Source organism: Homo sapiens, chromosome 14 (assembly GCF_000001405.40).
Source record: "Homo sapiens chromosome 14, GRCh38.p14 Primary Assembly".
Lineage (NCBI taxonomy): Eukaryota > Metazoa > Chordata > Mammalia > Primates > Hominidae > Homo > Homo sapiens.
Window position 1 is genome coordinate 36,503,231 of NC_000014.9, and position 12,996 is coordinate 36,516,226.

The 12,996-nt window shown below is 50.0% G+C and overlaps 1 long non-coding RNA gene across 9 annotated transcripts in view, besides 4 other annotated features; it reads right to left on the reverse strand.

Annotated features, from left to right (window-relative positions):
- SFTA3 (surfactant associated 3) overlaps positions 1 to 12,996 on the reverse strand; it is a 46,269-nt gene that overhangs the window by 29,943 nt on the left and 3,330 nt on the right. For 5 of the 9 annotated variants that reach the window (NR_138599.1, NR_138601.1, NR_138597.1 and 2 more), the window contains exon 1: positions 9,882 to 10,555. The exons of 2 other annotated variants lie outside the window; for them this stretch is intronic. This is a non-coding gene — a long non-coding RNA (surfactant associated 3). Of the gene's footprint in view, positions 1 to 9,881; positions 10,556 to 12,996 lie in introns of those variants that run through there. 2 more of the 9 variants (NR_161363.1, NR_161362.1) reach the window with 1 other exon arrangement.
- Positions 1,340 to 2,150: an enhancer, noted in NCBI's record as "VISTA enhancer hs1166". NCBI's record gives its function as "enhancer in: forebrain[6/6]" and the evidence as "EXISTENCE:transgenic organism evidence [ECO:0001131][PMID:17130149]".
- Positions 2,254 to 2,829: an enhancer, noted in NCBI's record as "H3K4me1 hESC enhancer chr14:36974689-36975264 (GRCh37/hg19 assembly coordinates)". NCBI's record gives its function as "activates a minimal SCP1, AML or CMV promoter by ChIP-STARR-seq in naive H9 embryonic stem cells {active_cell/tissue: H9 hESC(naive)}" and the evidence as "EXISTENCE:reporter gene assay evidence [ECO:0000049][PMID:30033119]".
- Positions 5,563 to 6,218: an enhancer, noted in NCBI's record as "NANOG-H3K4me1 hESC enhancer chr14:36977998-36978653 (GRCh37/hg19 assembly coordinates)". NCBI's record gives its function as "activates a minimal SCP1, AML or CMV promoter by ChIP-STARR-seq in naive H9 embryonic stem cells {active_cell/tissue: H9 hESC(naive)}" and the evidence as "EXISTENCE:reporter gene assay evidence [ECO:0000049][PMID:30033119]".
- Positions 11,411 to 12,038: an enhancer, noted in NCBI's record as "H3K4me1 hESC enhancer chr14:36983846-36984473 (GRCh37/hg19 assembly coordinates)". NCBI's record gives its function as "activates a minimal SCP1, AML or CMV promoter by ChIP-STARR-seq in naive and primed H9 embryonic stem cells {active_cell/tissue: H9 hESC(naive and primed)}" and the evidence as "EXISTENCE:reporter gene assay evidence [ECO:0000049][PMID:30033119]".

Genomic DNA, 12,996 nt, shown 5'->3' on the forward strand with positions numbered 1-12,996 from the left:
CCCCACCACCCAATCTCAAAACAGAGGCTCTCTCACTTATTCCCTTGAATTCTTAAAGATTCTTAATAAAGTTAAGAGTAACTAGCTATAAGAATGACCTAAAGAGGTGGGTCTGTTTTTAAGCAGACTGCACCTCAGAAACTATTGGAAGAGAGGGCTCCCTGCTTAAACCAGTTTCTATGGCTCTGCATTTACATAATACTAAGTCTCAGCAAAGTGTTTCCTCCTCAAATTTTTTTAGTCAGGAATACAGATAGAGATAGGTTGTAGGCTGACTTTATTCTTACGGAATTAAACACAATAATTTTTTTAAAATATCTTCTTTGAGGCAAGTGACCACGAGAGCACCTGTTATTTAAAAGTTTATTGGGTAGTTTAAAAAGCGGTGTCTCCCTCTTCCCCCTTCAAAAATAAATGGCATTGAAGTCCTCCGTTTCTCTTGTTTAGATCCTGCGGTTGGCTCGCTCATGAATATTAACTGAGAAAGGTGAAGCAGTAATTTAGGGAATCGAATCAAACTCACTAGGAGCAAAGAAGTGGTCCTGAATCAAAATGGAATAAACGATAACCCAGAGTCATTGTCAAGTCTCCCAAATGAAGAGATGTTCTGGGTAAATAAAAGTGACAAAGTCGTACCACATAAACAAATGTAGAAGATAGATGCCCCAGATCAAGAAATACTACTAAAGTGACCTGACTTGACAGTAATTGCAGGCAGCTTTTGAGAACTGCATCGGGGTTAAACGGCAGAGATCCTGACGACCTGGGCGACCGTCCCTGCGCAGCCCGGCGGGAGGCTGCGCCCAGAATCCTGGGCTTTGGGCCTCTGGGGCCCGGCGAGGAGATGAAGAAGTCAAGCCTCGAGCTCTCCGGAGGTTCGATGGCCGCCGGGCCAGTGCGGGCTCAGAGGAAGACCCTGCAAAAAAGAGCGCTCGCCCCCACCCCTGGAGCCGACCCTGCGCAGTAGGGCCGCAGCCGGTCCCCGCGGGCAGCTCAGCGGGCGCGGGCGGGAGGCTCCCGGAACGCAGGCTGAGGTCAGGCTGACCACGCCGCCTCCTCAGTCGCCGTATCGCGGGGCTGGCGGCCAGCGCCTTAGAAGAGCCTGCTCCGCCGCAGGAAGAAAGACGCCCGACAGGCGCCCACTGCCCGAACCCACGCGGGGGCCAGTCAGCCAGCGGGCCGTGTTGGGAAAGCTCCGCGCGGCGGCGGGACATAGGATCCCCATCGGGGACCTGGGCGACGGCCTGAGCTTGGGCGCCCCTCCAGCTGGGCGTCATCTCCACACAGTTCTTCCCTTGCGCCGCGAATTCAGCCCCTGTGAAGACGCTTTGGGCATTGGCGAGCAACAGGGGAAAAAACGAGTCACTTAAATGGGAGAAGGAAGGGGATGGTCATGAGGACTTGGAGGAAACCACACGGAAAAGAAATCCTCATCACTACCAAAAGCATTTCTAAGAAGTCCTAAGGTTTTATGCCTGGAGATTTCACTTTAAAAGCTGGAAAAAAATTATTCCACTGCTTTTAATTGAAGTAAACAAAGTGCAACAAATCCTAACTCAAATATGATTGCAGGGAGATTAGGGTCTAATTGCTTAGGGTTCAGGTGGAATCTGTGGGCTAAATCCTACAGGGCCAATCTGAATTTCACAATCATTCTGTCAAAAGGAGAGCGATGAGAGCCCACACGCTTCCTAACAAGTCATTTTTAACAGTTACAAGCTTCGCACAAAGACCACACAGGGCGTCTAAGAGATGCAAATCTAATCCCTGGTCATTCTACAGGCCTTCAACAAAGATGTGCTAAACCCTAATAGAAAAGAAATCAGTTCTCTGTCACCAGCCCCTGGTAAAATCTATTAGAGAATGGACAGAGCCGCATCTACAGCAGTTGCTGCAAAGGTTAAGGACAAGTACAAATAAGAGGGACCCAGTTTTGTTTTCCGTGTGAAATATCGGGAGAAGCTAACCCCCAAAGAGTGACGGGATTCAATCCGTGGCTTCGCATTCATTTGAATGCTAGAAAAAATAAACACACATTAAGACTTTTGAAGGCTCCATTTCTGAATTCAAGAGAGATGAAACAAATTCGCCCAAAAGATAGAAATCTTTGCCTCGGAAATTATCGGAGAATATTAACGGAGAGGGAGGGGAGCGCGCGGGTCGCCGAGGAAGGACGCGGGTACGGCCCCTTGCTTTGGGGTGGCAGAGCCGGGCTCAGGAGCCAGCCAAGCTGACTTCGCGAGGTGGCGCCTGGGCCTTTCGGGGGAAAGCCCCGACGGCGGAGCCGCGGCTGGGCGGGGACTCAAATGCTGGCGGCCTCTGGGCTGGGGCCGAGCAGGGGGTGCCGACCGCGGGAAGTCTGGGCGGCCGCCCTCCCACCCAGACGAGCCGATGCTGGGCCGCGGTCCCTCTCAGCTACCTCGCTTGCCCGCCTCGGGGCCCCTGGAGAGGGGTCTGTGCCTCCCAGGCAGGGAAGCGTCTTGATGTGCACCCCGGCGTTCACCAACCAAATAAGGGCCTCGCTCACACAGTCGATGTCATGCTGGGTATTAAAAGGGTTGTGCTGCAGCTAAAATATCTCACAGTGTGTGTGAACCTCATAAAAGGGAGGACCCGGATTCCAAGCCCCTCGAAGTCCCCAAGCAGCCTGGAGGGTGGGGGACTCCCCTCTCCTTCTCTCCACACTGAGCCCCCGGGCAAGCCCAGGCCTCCTCCTGCGCCGGGGTCCCCGGGCTCCGAAACTGCGAGAGCCCTGCGGAGCCCGGCCAGAGGGGCAGAGGGTGGGGGCTGGGGGCGGGGACCTGGGGGGTGCAGCCCAGCCAGAACCCGCGGCCTAGCCTGATCGCGGGGAGCCGGGATCCGCCTTCCATCCTGGGAAACGACTCGGGTTAGGGAAGCGGGATGGGCTCCGCTCGGAGTTCCCAGGCAGCTGGGGCGCCCTCCAAGTGACGCCTTTGTCCAGGCTGCGCTCGCGGAGAATAAAGGGGGCGCTGTCCAACCTCAGGTTCGGGGAAAACCAAGGAACCAAGGGACTCTTTTTCTAAAATGCCCTCTCCAAACTACAGGGAGGAGGAATGGGACACGTGTGCAGAAAAAGAGTTTTGCCTGTCTCCACAGAAGTTTCTAGAAGCTATTTCCCCTCCCCTTGGCCTTGCCCTCTGCCCCCAGGTTCCCTTGAATATGTTCCTCCACGGGGTACAGAACCCGGAGCGATCCAGGATGGAGGAGCAGGCTGGAGTTCGGCTGGCGAACTCCCAGTCCTGACCCCTGGGCTCCACAGTCTTTCAATTTGCTCTGGCAGGACAGTCCCCCTTCTTAAAGCCCGGAAGAAGGGAAGGCAAGCTTTGCTAGTTTTTGCCCCTCAGCTCAGAGACAGACTGCCATACACACATCTGCTTCCCCCTTATCCCTCTCTATGCCCCTCCAGGGGAGGCATATGCCTTGGGTCCCGGCTGTACTCCCTCCTCCCCATCTACTGACATTAATTGATTTTCTCCAGGCTGCGGCTTCTCTTTGCTTCTATCGTTTTTCTCCCTAGTCCTTTGATAGGCTGACCTTGGCTCTTCTCTGGTCTTCTTACTCCCCAACTGGTCTCCCATATGGACCTTACTGGCTTTCATTCTTTATTACTTAGCCTATCCACTTTCTCTACTTTTCCTTTTAGTACTGACATTAGGATAAACAATACCGAATTGCCTATAAAGTAGGATTGCAGCCATGACTGGAGTTGGACAAGAAAGCAAAGAAAACATCGGCATTGGAATAAAGAAATGGAAAATGGGGAAGGATGAAGAAACAGAAGAAAAGTAGATAATAAAGTCACACCAGGTTGTAAATACAAGAATAAGATGCTTGATGTTCCTGCACATGATCTTGGGGTCCTAATGAGGGTCTCACATACCTACACTGGGGAGGCAGGAGGGGTCTCCCTGAGGAGGGCAGGGTGAAGTTTCTTCTCCCTGACTGGGATTGCACCTGAAGACTTGGGCTAGCGAGCCGCTGTATATCCTGGATCCGGGAAGGTGTGAAGGGATCAACCACCACTTCTAGAAATAGTCATGTGGGCAATATATCTCTATGGGGTTTTCAGATGGCTGCAACTTCCTACCCTGGATCTCTGCTGCTCTTGGGCACCACATTCCTGTCCACCCAGCCAAGCCTGGTCTGAGGCTGTGTCCTTAGTCAGGGGAGCCTGTTTCCCTTTCCCCTGGCAGACTAGGTCCTGTGGGTCCCAGCGTCCTCTTCACCTCCTGCCAGTTGTAGGAGTTCTGTCCTCCCATTTTGCGGAACCAGGGAGCCTGTGGGAGGCCTTACCTCCACTGCCAGCCCCACCTCACCCCAGGGCAGATTAGTGCCTCTGAGCCACTCAATTATCCGCAGGATGGGTGGGGGGGGGGCGGGGAGGGGAATCTAGAATTTATAGCTGGGGGTGGAAGGCGCAGTGAGGGAGGTACAGGGAGGAAGAGTGAAATATTTAGATCTTTGGGGTTCCTGCCATTTGGCCCCTATTAAAGAGAACCCTGGGGCTTTTAGAATGAGTTTTGCATGAAATTGAACAAGCAGGGCCATGAGCTGTACAGAATCCCACCTCCACCCCCCAACATACACACACCTTATTTATTGGTTCTTCTGAGATCTTCCCAGACGCAAAAACTCTTTACAAGGATATCAAAAAATACAACACCTGCCTACGAGGCACCACTTTGAGGAAGCTAATAAATTACCCCCCTTTGAAACAAAAATGGAATCAGCATTAAGCACATACTATTATTAGGTTGAGTTTCAGTCTCCTAGAAAATTCGTTAGATGTTGATATCTGGGGAGAGAAGGAATCTCTCTTTTCCTTAAGAAAATTCACGAGGGAAACAGCAGTAGTTCGCTGGCTTTGTTTGGTTTCGTTTATTTGTACAAAGAAAGATTGTGCGTTAAGATCTTTTTTAAAAATCCCTGCAAGTTAGAGTTTGCATCATCGTCGTGACCTAGTGAACTAATATTTGTATATTCTGGGATCGAAATTCCGAGGAAGTTTCTGCTCTTCCGCACACCAGACTTGCCGGTGTGGTCTCCAGGAGGGGTTGGGGGCCGCGTCCTCAGGGGGCGCGCGGCCGAGGCTGTTCCCAGCGCGGGAACGGGAGGGAGAACCTGGGCAGGGGCGGGGCGGGGCGGGGCGCGGGGACCTGGGTACGCGGAGACGCGGGGCGGGCGGGGGCCGAGAGCGAGGCTGCCGGCTGGGTGTTGGGAGAGAGGCCGCGGGTGGACGGGGTAAGGACTGGGACTGGGGAGACTGAGAGCTGGGGGGTGCGGGGAGGATGAGGCTGCGGACAGGAAACGAAGGGCCTGGGACAGCTGCTTCTCTTGGTCCTAGAAACCAAACTTTCGTAGCGAGAGACCCTAAGACAGCTCGAGATTTCAAGTGTCCACACTTCTAGTTTAGACATTTGGCAACCAATTCGGAACAGCCGGGCCGCGAGGGGCCCCCAGGTCTTTGGCGGCGTCGTTGGGAGGCCGCGGAGTTGTCCCTGGGCTTCCCTGAAGGCCCCGCAGACTCCCCGCCAGTCCCGGCCACACCCAGCCAGGGCTTTGCAGCTCCAGCCTGAGAATGTTAGCCCCGGCAACCCCTTCTGGCGGTTGTTCCTTTAAAAACCAATTCATTTTTTCCATCAAGTCTTCTACCCAATGGGTAGACTCTTCGTTAAATGACTGTTAACCAGTACTGAGGAGAAGCACAATCAACATAGTTTCTCTGTCACCTTTCTTGCCGGTTTTTTCCTCCCAACCATGGAGTCTCCATTTTCTAAGCAATTAAATTATATATTCAACAGGAACATTCCATTTAAAATGGTTCGGGACAGAAGACTGATGCACAAGGTCTGAAGCTGGAAGAAAATATTTAGTGCTTGCCTACAGATTCTGTCACCCATCATCTGCTCGGAATGCGCTCCGTATCTTTCAGCGTGTCCGGCTCTTATGATTGCAAATGGCCCTGTTTTCAAATGGAAATAAGACTTGCAAACTGATTATGTGTATTGAATCAGAATCACTCGCTAGATCCTCTTGTTTAAAATGTATTGAAAAAAGGATGATGGGTGCAGACCTCTGTAACCAGCTCTGTCTCTTCTCTGGGAGGTCGATCTATTTTGCAACTTTTTGCCATTTGAGCGTGTTTCAGCCAGATAATTACGTTGCCATTGTGTTACCGGCCCAAAGCTCAGACAGGGTACACACACCACCACCCAGCCGTCTCCCAGGCCCTCCCCACTAGGATCACCCCCTAAACACCACAGGCACATGACACAGTCATCCACCACCATCCCCACCTCCCCATCACTGTGACCCAGCTATATATAACCAGCACTTCTCAGCTGCCACAACCGCCCTCAGAAGCCCACACACTTTCACCAGGAATAGTTGTTTCTGTTTTCTCCCAGTATCCTTTCCGGCCCCCTTTCTCTCTTCTGTCTTTCCAATGAGCAGAACCACATACACAACCCCCAAATAGCTTTCACAGGCACACCACCAATGCAATCTAAGTATTTAGCCATGTTGAGAATTTTCAACAACTAACTGTGTTGATGTGGCATTGTAATTGTTAGAAAATGGTTAATACAGGAAGGTTACTGTGAACATGTTTGTATGCTACCACATACCTCAAAGGGTTTCTCTTTCTCTTTACCCCTACCCAGTGCTAAATGATGGCCATGAGTGGGTTGGCTTTTTGTTAAATATTTCCAAAAACTTTTTCTGTTTGATTTCAGTACGAAGCCAATGGACTATGTAGATGTGTAGAGAGATGTCTGAGTTTTATCTATTGCGTGAGTTGTAGGTATGATACAATGCAGCACTTCCAAAGTTTACTGCACCCAGGTCGAGGCTCAGGAGTCCTGTCAGGGAACAGTGCTGCCAGGGAGTAGTAATCGACATTTCAGTTAATACTGCCAGGTCACAGGGCAGTAACGAACTAGCTACAATTTCTGTCTGCTGTGGCTTGAGGTAGGAATGTGTGCTGTGTGCACCACGGTGGTTTGACAGTTGCAATTCTTTCTGAAGTAGAATCAGAAGGGAAGGAAGAAGCTGCCACTGCCCAGCCCCCCAGGCCCTTAGTCCCACCCCAGGCCTTGCAGACCTTGAGGCACCATCAAGTGGCCAGGCAGAGAGAGAGATTTAATCCTCTGCGGCTTGAGTCTCCTCTAGAAGTCTGTCGCTGCAAGTCTGTTTAGAGACCTAATGCTCTGGAAGCGTCTGTTGGGACCATAACTTTGCGAGGTTCGCTTTACACATAGGCATATCCAGTTCCTTAGACATTGACTGGGTCTCCTGGGTTGCGGCAGAGCGTGCAGTCAGCTCAGAGGAACTAGCTCTCGGTCCTCTTAGTGTCATTATGGTAATTCACAGGTTTACTTCTGCGCGCGCGCACTCAGCCCCGTGTGTGCTGCTGAGATCAGGTAAATCAGTAGCACGCGGGCCAAATAAAGCCTTGTTTTCCTAGAGCTTTGGACTTTTAGAGCAGCAGCATTAGGAGGGAGAATGCTAGGCAAGGCAGACGCTAACCTGTTGTGGGTCATTTTCCATAGACTGGATCCAGAGCACAGGGACAGGGGAAGGATATCCAAAGATACTTGGTGGCCTGATAGCTCTGATTTTATATAAATGAATGATCAACAATCACCAATACTCTAGAAATAGAATGTTTGACACTCCACCAACAGTCTGCTGTTACTAGCAGCAAGATCTAACAATCAAAGACCGGATTCCCCAGAAATGTGTGAAATAGAGGGGAAAAGGGAGAAGAAAAAAAATTTGTCTTTTTCCTTGTTGTCAGACAACACTCAGACCTGCATTCTTATTTCCACTACTATGTGAAGGCTTAAAGTGTGAAATCAAGAGGACGTTTGCAACAAATGCGGAGCAGAAACAGTTTTCATTTGTTCGTTGCTGTTGTTGCCCCAGGGCGGTAGTATTTATACCAGTGATTTTTATAGATGGATAATAGAAGTTCGGCAAGGGACAATTTTTTTGTTGTTGTTATAGAATGTCTCAAAAAGTCTTATCCACAGCTGTGTCTCAGACACCAAGTTCAAATTATTTAGGAATAAATTTTAAAATTTCCTAAAACATAATTAGTTATCCAGAGTTTCACATGACAATAAATAAATATTCTGACTTAAAGTGGGTAAAACTAAAGGGTTTTGGTCTATTTGAATTTTTCAAGGAAACTTTTTCATGAGACACCTTAATTGAGGTAGTGAATTTATTCAATGTTCTTGCATCTAACAGGTTCTGTAAAATCTCTGAGAATTCTATATTACAGTTTTTGAATATCTTATAAAATAGATATATGTGTGTAAGATAGATACATATGTATATATACATGTGTATAAGAGATACATATGTATATATACATGTGTATAAGAGAGATACATATGTATATATACATGTGTATAAGAGAGATACATATGTATATATACATGTGTATAAGAGAGATACATATGTATATATACATGTGTATAAGAGAGATACATATGTATATATACATGTGTATAAGAGAGATACATATGTATATATACATGTGTATAAGAGAGACACATATGTATATATACCTCTATACACACATACATATATACATAGAAATCTGTGTGCAATCACTTACAAAGTAGGCAGAATCAGATGTGGATTTTAGGTGGGAGGCAAGAGTTTTCTTTAACAAGTCCTTTGCCTGCCACATTTATGTTATGTTTTATTTATATTTCAGGCAGAGCACTAACAGTGATCAATTTATGTTGAAGGGTCCTGCAAATAACAAAAATAGATAAAACAGGAAAATGAATTTAAATCTCACCCTTTCCAAAACTTTGCTACAACTCATAATAACAAGGGTAATAAATGCTTACGAAGCAGAGGTCAAACGGGAAACATTAGCAAACGAGGAGAGGCGCAGGAGCCCAGGATCATGCCTCGATGCCCACCAAGTTGGGCATTAGGTCACTATCAGAGAGAAATGCAGCCAGCCACTTCAGCTATGGCTTCAGCTGAGGCAAAAGCTGTGCTGCCAAGTTGCTGAACCTGCTCTTTCTCCGTTCCTTTGAGATTCATTAAAGAAAGTTCAGAAACACAACTACATGAGGTGAGGATAAGGGCATATGCAGACCCCCTTCAATAAAACTTACTTTCATCTACTCCCATCCATATCCAAATCCCTCAGCTTGGGTGGACAAACTTTCCAGAGAGGGTGACTGAAAATAAGATACTCCTTCTAGAAACAACTGGCCGAAGGGGCACCAGAAAACTTTCTATGCTCCAAGTTGAGGTAAGCTACCAAATTGGGCCCCACAGAGGGTGGCCTGAAGTCTCAGAAACACAGCTGCACAAGGAGGAACGCGTCAGCCAGAAGGCAGGGAGAGCCAGAGGAACATGGTGTCCAGCGTCTCCTAACCAGGATCTAGCCGAGCAGAGAAAACATTCAGCCTCCTCCCTCCCAATACCCGTGTCTGTCACTTTCTTTCCATTCAAAAAGAAAGTCCTAGTTGAACTAAACAAGCCAGTAACCCATGCCTAAGAATCATATCATCTCAGATTCTCATCTCCCAATGGGCTTTCTAGTTCTCCACAAATAAAATCGTCTACTCTGCTTCCTCGCGCTAATAATTGGGGGGTGGGGAGCAGGGAAGGGAGAGCGATGTCTGGAGACATATGATCAGAATTCAAGGCAGCTTCTCACAACTCTCTTGTTTATAGAAAATGAATGTCTGCCTGGCTTGCTTTTAGTTCAGAAAAGGGGTCAGTCTTTATCAGCACGGTTCACACAGATCCTGGATTTTTTTTCCCTTATCTTAAATTGACCCGCTTTTAAGATAAAGACATAATAGAGAAAGCATTGACCTTACCTGGTCCCTAATGAGTTGGAAGTCAGAAAACCCGGCTCTCATTTCCTCTTATCTGGATCGCCTGAGAAGAGACTCGCGCTACCTTTTGTGCACTCGCGCCTCGAGATAGCCCCTCACTGACGCCTGGACGCGGTGAGCGCGCTGAAGGCTGTGCGGCCTCTAAAGTCTCAGAATTCCTCCCTGCGGCCTCAAAATTGGAGAGTTGGATTCCAGACCAAGACACTGTCACTAGAGCTCCCTAGCCCTGGCCCAGGAAGATTTAAAATCCCTTAAAATCCCTTAGACTTGCTCCCGAGCAAGTCTTTCCCTATGAAAGGCCAAACTCTAAGCTTCGTGAAGAAGCCTCCTACAAGGACACTGGTCTGGAGCGCCCGGGCCTCCGCGTCTCCAGGAGTGCGCGCCCAGAGCGTTTCTAGCGGAGACTGCCCAGGCCTGGCTCGGATTTCAGTCGCGGGGCCCCAGGCTACTTCCCACCGGGCCAGCAGCAGGGCCGAGCCGCTGCCCTGTTGGCTGAGGCATTCCCTGCCCCCACCCCCCTCCTGGCCTTGAGGACCGCAGTGTGTACCCTTGTTGGTAGCGGCAGCAGCCCGGGATCCCTGTCTCCCCTGCTCAGAGCATCTCTGTCTCGCTCTTCTCCCCGCTTCTGAGCTTGGCCCAGTCCCTGACCCCCTCGCTAGCTGAGAGAGCTGCTTTCCTTCCTCTCCTGCCCACAGCTCCCAGTTCCCAGGCTGGGGCCAGGGTGGGGAGCAGCTTTGGGATGCTAAACATCAAAAAAGCCCAGCCTGGGGTTTCAGGGCCCGAAGCCACTAGAGCGGCTCTCCAAGGCTCTCGAGAAAGTCCTAGTGTTTACATGGCGAAGTGGGGGTGGGGAGAGGAGGAAGGGGGGTGCAGTGTGCAAAATCTCCCCCACTCCTCTCAGCCGTTGGGGCCTAGGGATGGGTAGGGTACTTTGGCGGAGGCAAAGCTTCGCGGTGATCTCGGGGTGAACCGTACTTGCTCCCAAACCTCGGAAGCTTCCAAGCACCTCAGCGCCAGGGGCATCCTCAGAATGCTGATTTCTCCGAGAGGGGAGGCCAGAAATTGGGCACGAGTTGATGCAGGAGATTCCCAGAAAGGAGGACTGTCGGCTTTCCAGAAGCCGACGGTGCTGTAGGGGCGGAGGGTGTCCCCAGGTTGCGGAACCCTCTTGCACTGCTCCCAGCGCGCACCTATTTCCCTAATGAAACGCTTCAGATTGCGTTCTAGGTCTCTTCCCGCAGCTGCGACAATTCCCCCAGCCGGGAGCGGGAGCGGATGGAGCCAGCGTAATTGATGGCAAGAAAGAGGCTGAGGTCCTGTTTGTCTCGGTCCGCAAACCCGATTGAGTTCACCTTTCCCCGGGACAAGTAAACAGACTTCAAACTATGCCGACTGTAGACGGCGAGGAGAAGAATGTATTTGATGGAAACTCCATCCAATGCAAAGATGATAAGGCCGAGGGTGCCACAGCCTACTAAAATTGTGACTCCCAAAGGCTTCCTCCCAGCTAGAATGGGGTGCGGGGCAGCCGCCAGAACCACAGCCGGGCACCGCCAGCCAGGTCCCCGCCCGGGCTTGGGCTAGGCTGGGGCAGGTTAAGCGAAGCTCCAATTCCGTGGGATCCGGACCTAGAGCCAAACAGCAGCTGCAGTATCCATGTCCCCTGCCCGGCCGGCCTGAGCTGGGTGCCTTAGCCACCTACACTCCCGGTCCCGGAACCACAGCTGACCATTCCAACGCAAGTGGTCAAATTTGTTTGTTTTCCAAAACGTGAGACCTGTTAAAATCTCCCTTCCCCGCCTTCCAACAAGCACTCTCACTAGACCCAACCATCCTCTTGGGAATCTTCGAGTCCCTCTGGCTGTTGGAAACTGTGTCTCAGCAGTGAGGCCCAGGTTTCTGAGGGAGAAAGCCCGGCCTAGCCCACAGTCTTAAGGCACCACGCCAGAGGAGGCTCCAGGAAGTTAACAAAGAGGACTGCTGGGCCCGGAGCGAGGACTCCGGCCAGTCTGCTTTCCTCACAAGCTCTTGGTGGGGGAGCGGGAGAGAGGGATTGGGAAGAGATGCAGACGAATAACGAAATGAGAGAGGGGAAGAGAGGAAGAAAAAGAAAGTTGAAAACCTGGGCGAGAAGTGAGTACATGCCAAATAAGAATCAATTGCCCATAATCCAATACTTCCAGGCCTAGAGGAAAGTGCTGGGAGGGGCGTCTGCCCGCAGCTGGCTCAGCTGCCTTTCGACCGGAGATTTGGCAAGGGTGACCCGGAAGGGCTACAGCCCATCCAGGGGACTACAATTTTTCTGTGTTCAAAACCATTCCTTCTCCCCTCTCTCTCATCCCTAATGGGTCTCCCAACACAAACACTGAGCGCTGAGGAAACCAGGAAATTAGAGGTTGGAAGAAAGGAATCAAAAATGATTTATTATTTATTTATTTTTTTTGCTTGGCGTGGGAGGTAGTGGCTGGGAGGTGAAGAACTGTAAACAGGAGAAAGATTCATTACTACAAAAATTTAGGATCCCAGAGATAAAACCCAGTACAACAAAGAGTGAAATCTCAGCTCCCAAAGTCCTTCCTGGGATGTCCTCAGGCCTGTCACCCAGTGTTACCCCGTTGGAGGCCAAAGGAGCCAAAAGCAGCAGGGGCTGAAGGCGTCTGCTGCTGGTCCCCTAGAGGGGTCCCTGTTTTAGGACAGAAACAAAACCCCTGAATGACTTCCTTACTTTCGAAAACAGCCTCCCATCGAATTCTGTGAAGGAGCTCAGCCACTGATTAGAAATAAAGGTTTGATGTTCAAATCTACAGAGGTGATCCATTCACTGAAAACCATAACTCACTCAGACTGATTTAAAATGGGTGTCCTCTCTCACTGTTTTAAAACTTTGGCTCAGCTTTGTGAGACCACAGTAGACAGTTCTGAGACTCCTATCAACAGAAGTCTGACTCAGAAAATGAATTATTTGGTCTCTTTCTCTTCCTCTCTCCCTCTCCCTCTTGGTGGAAGTAGTTTGGTATTTCGGTCCTCCACTGCAGTCTCAGGACTGCTCAAGATTTGTTTCCACACAATTTCTGAGGCAGAACAAAACTCCCTCTTC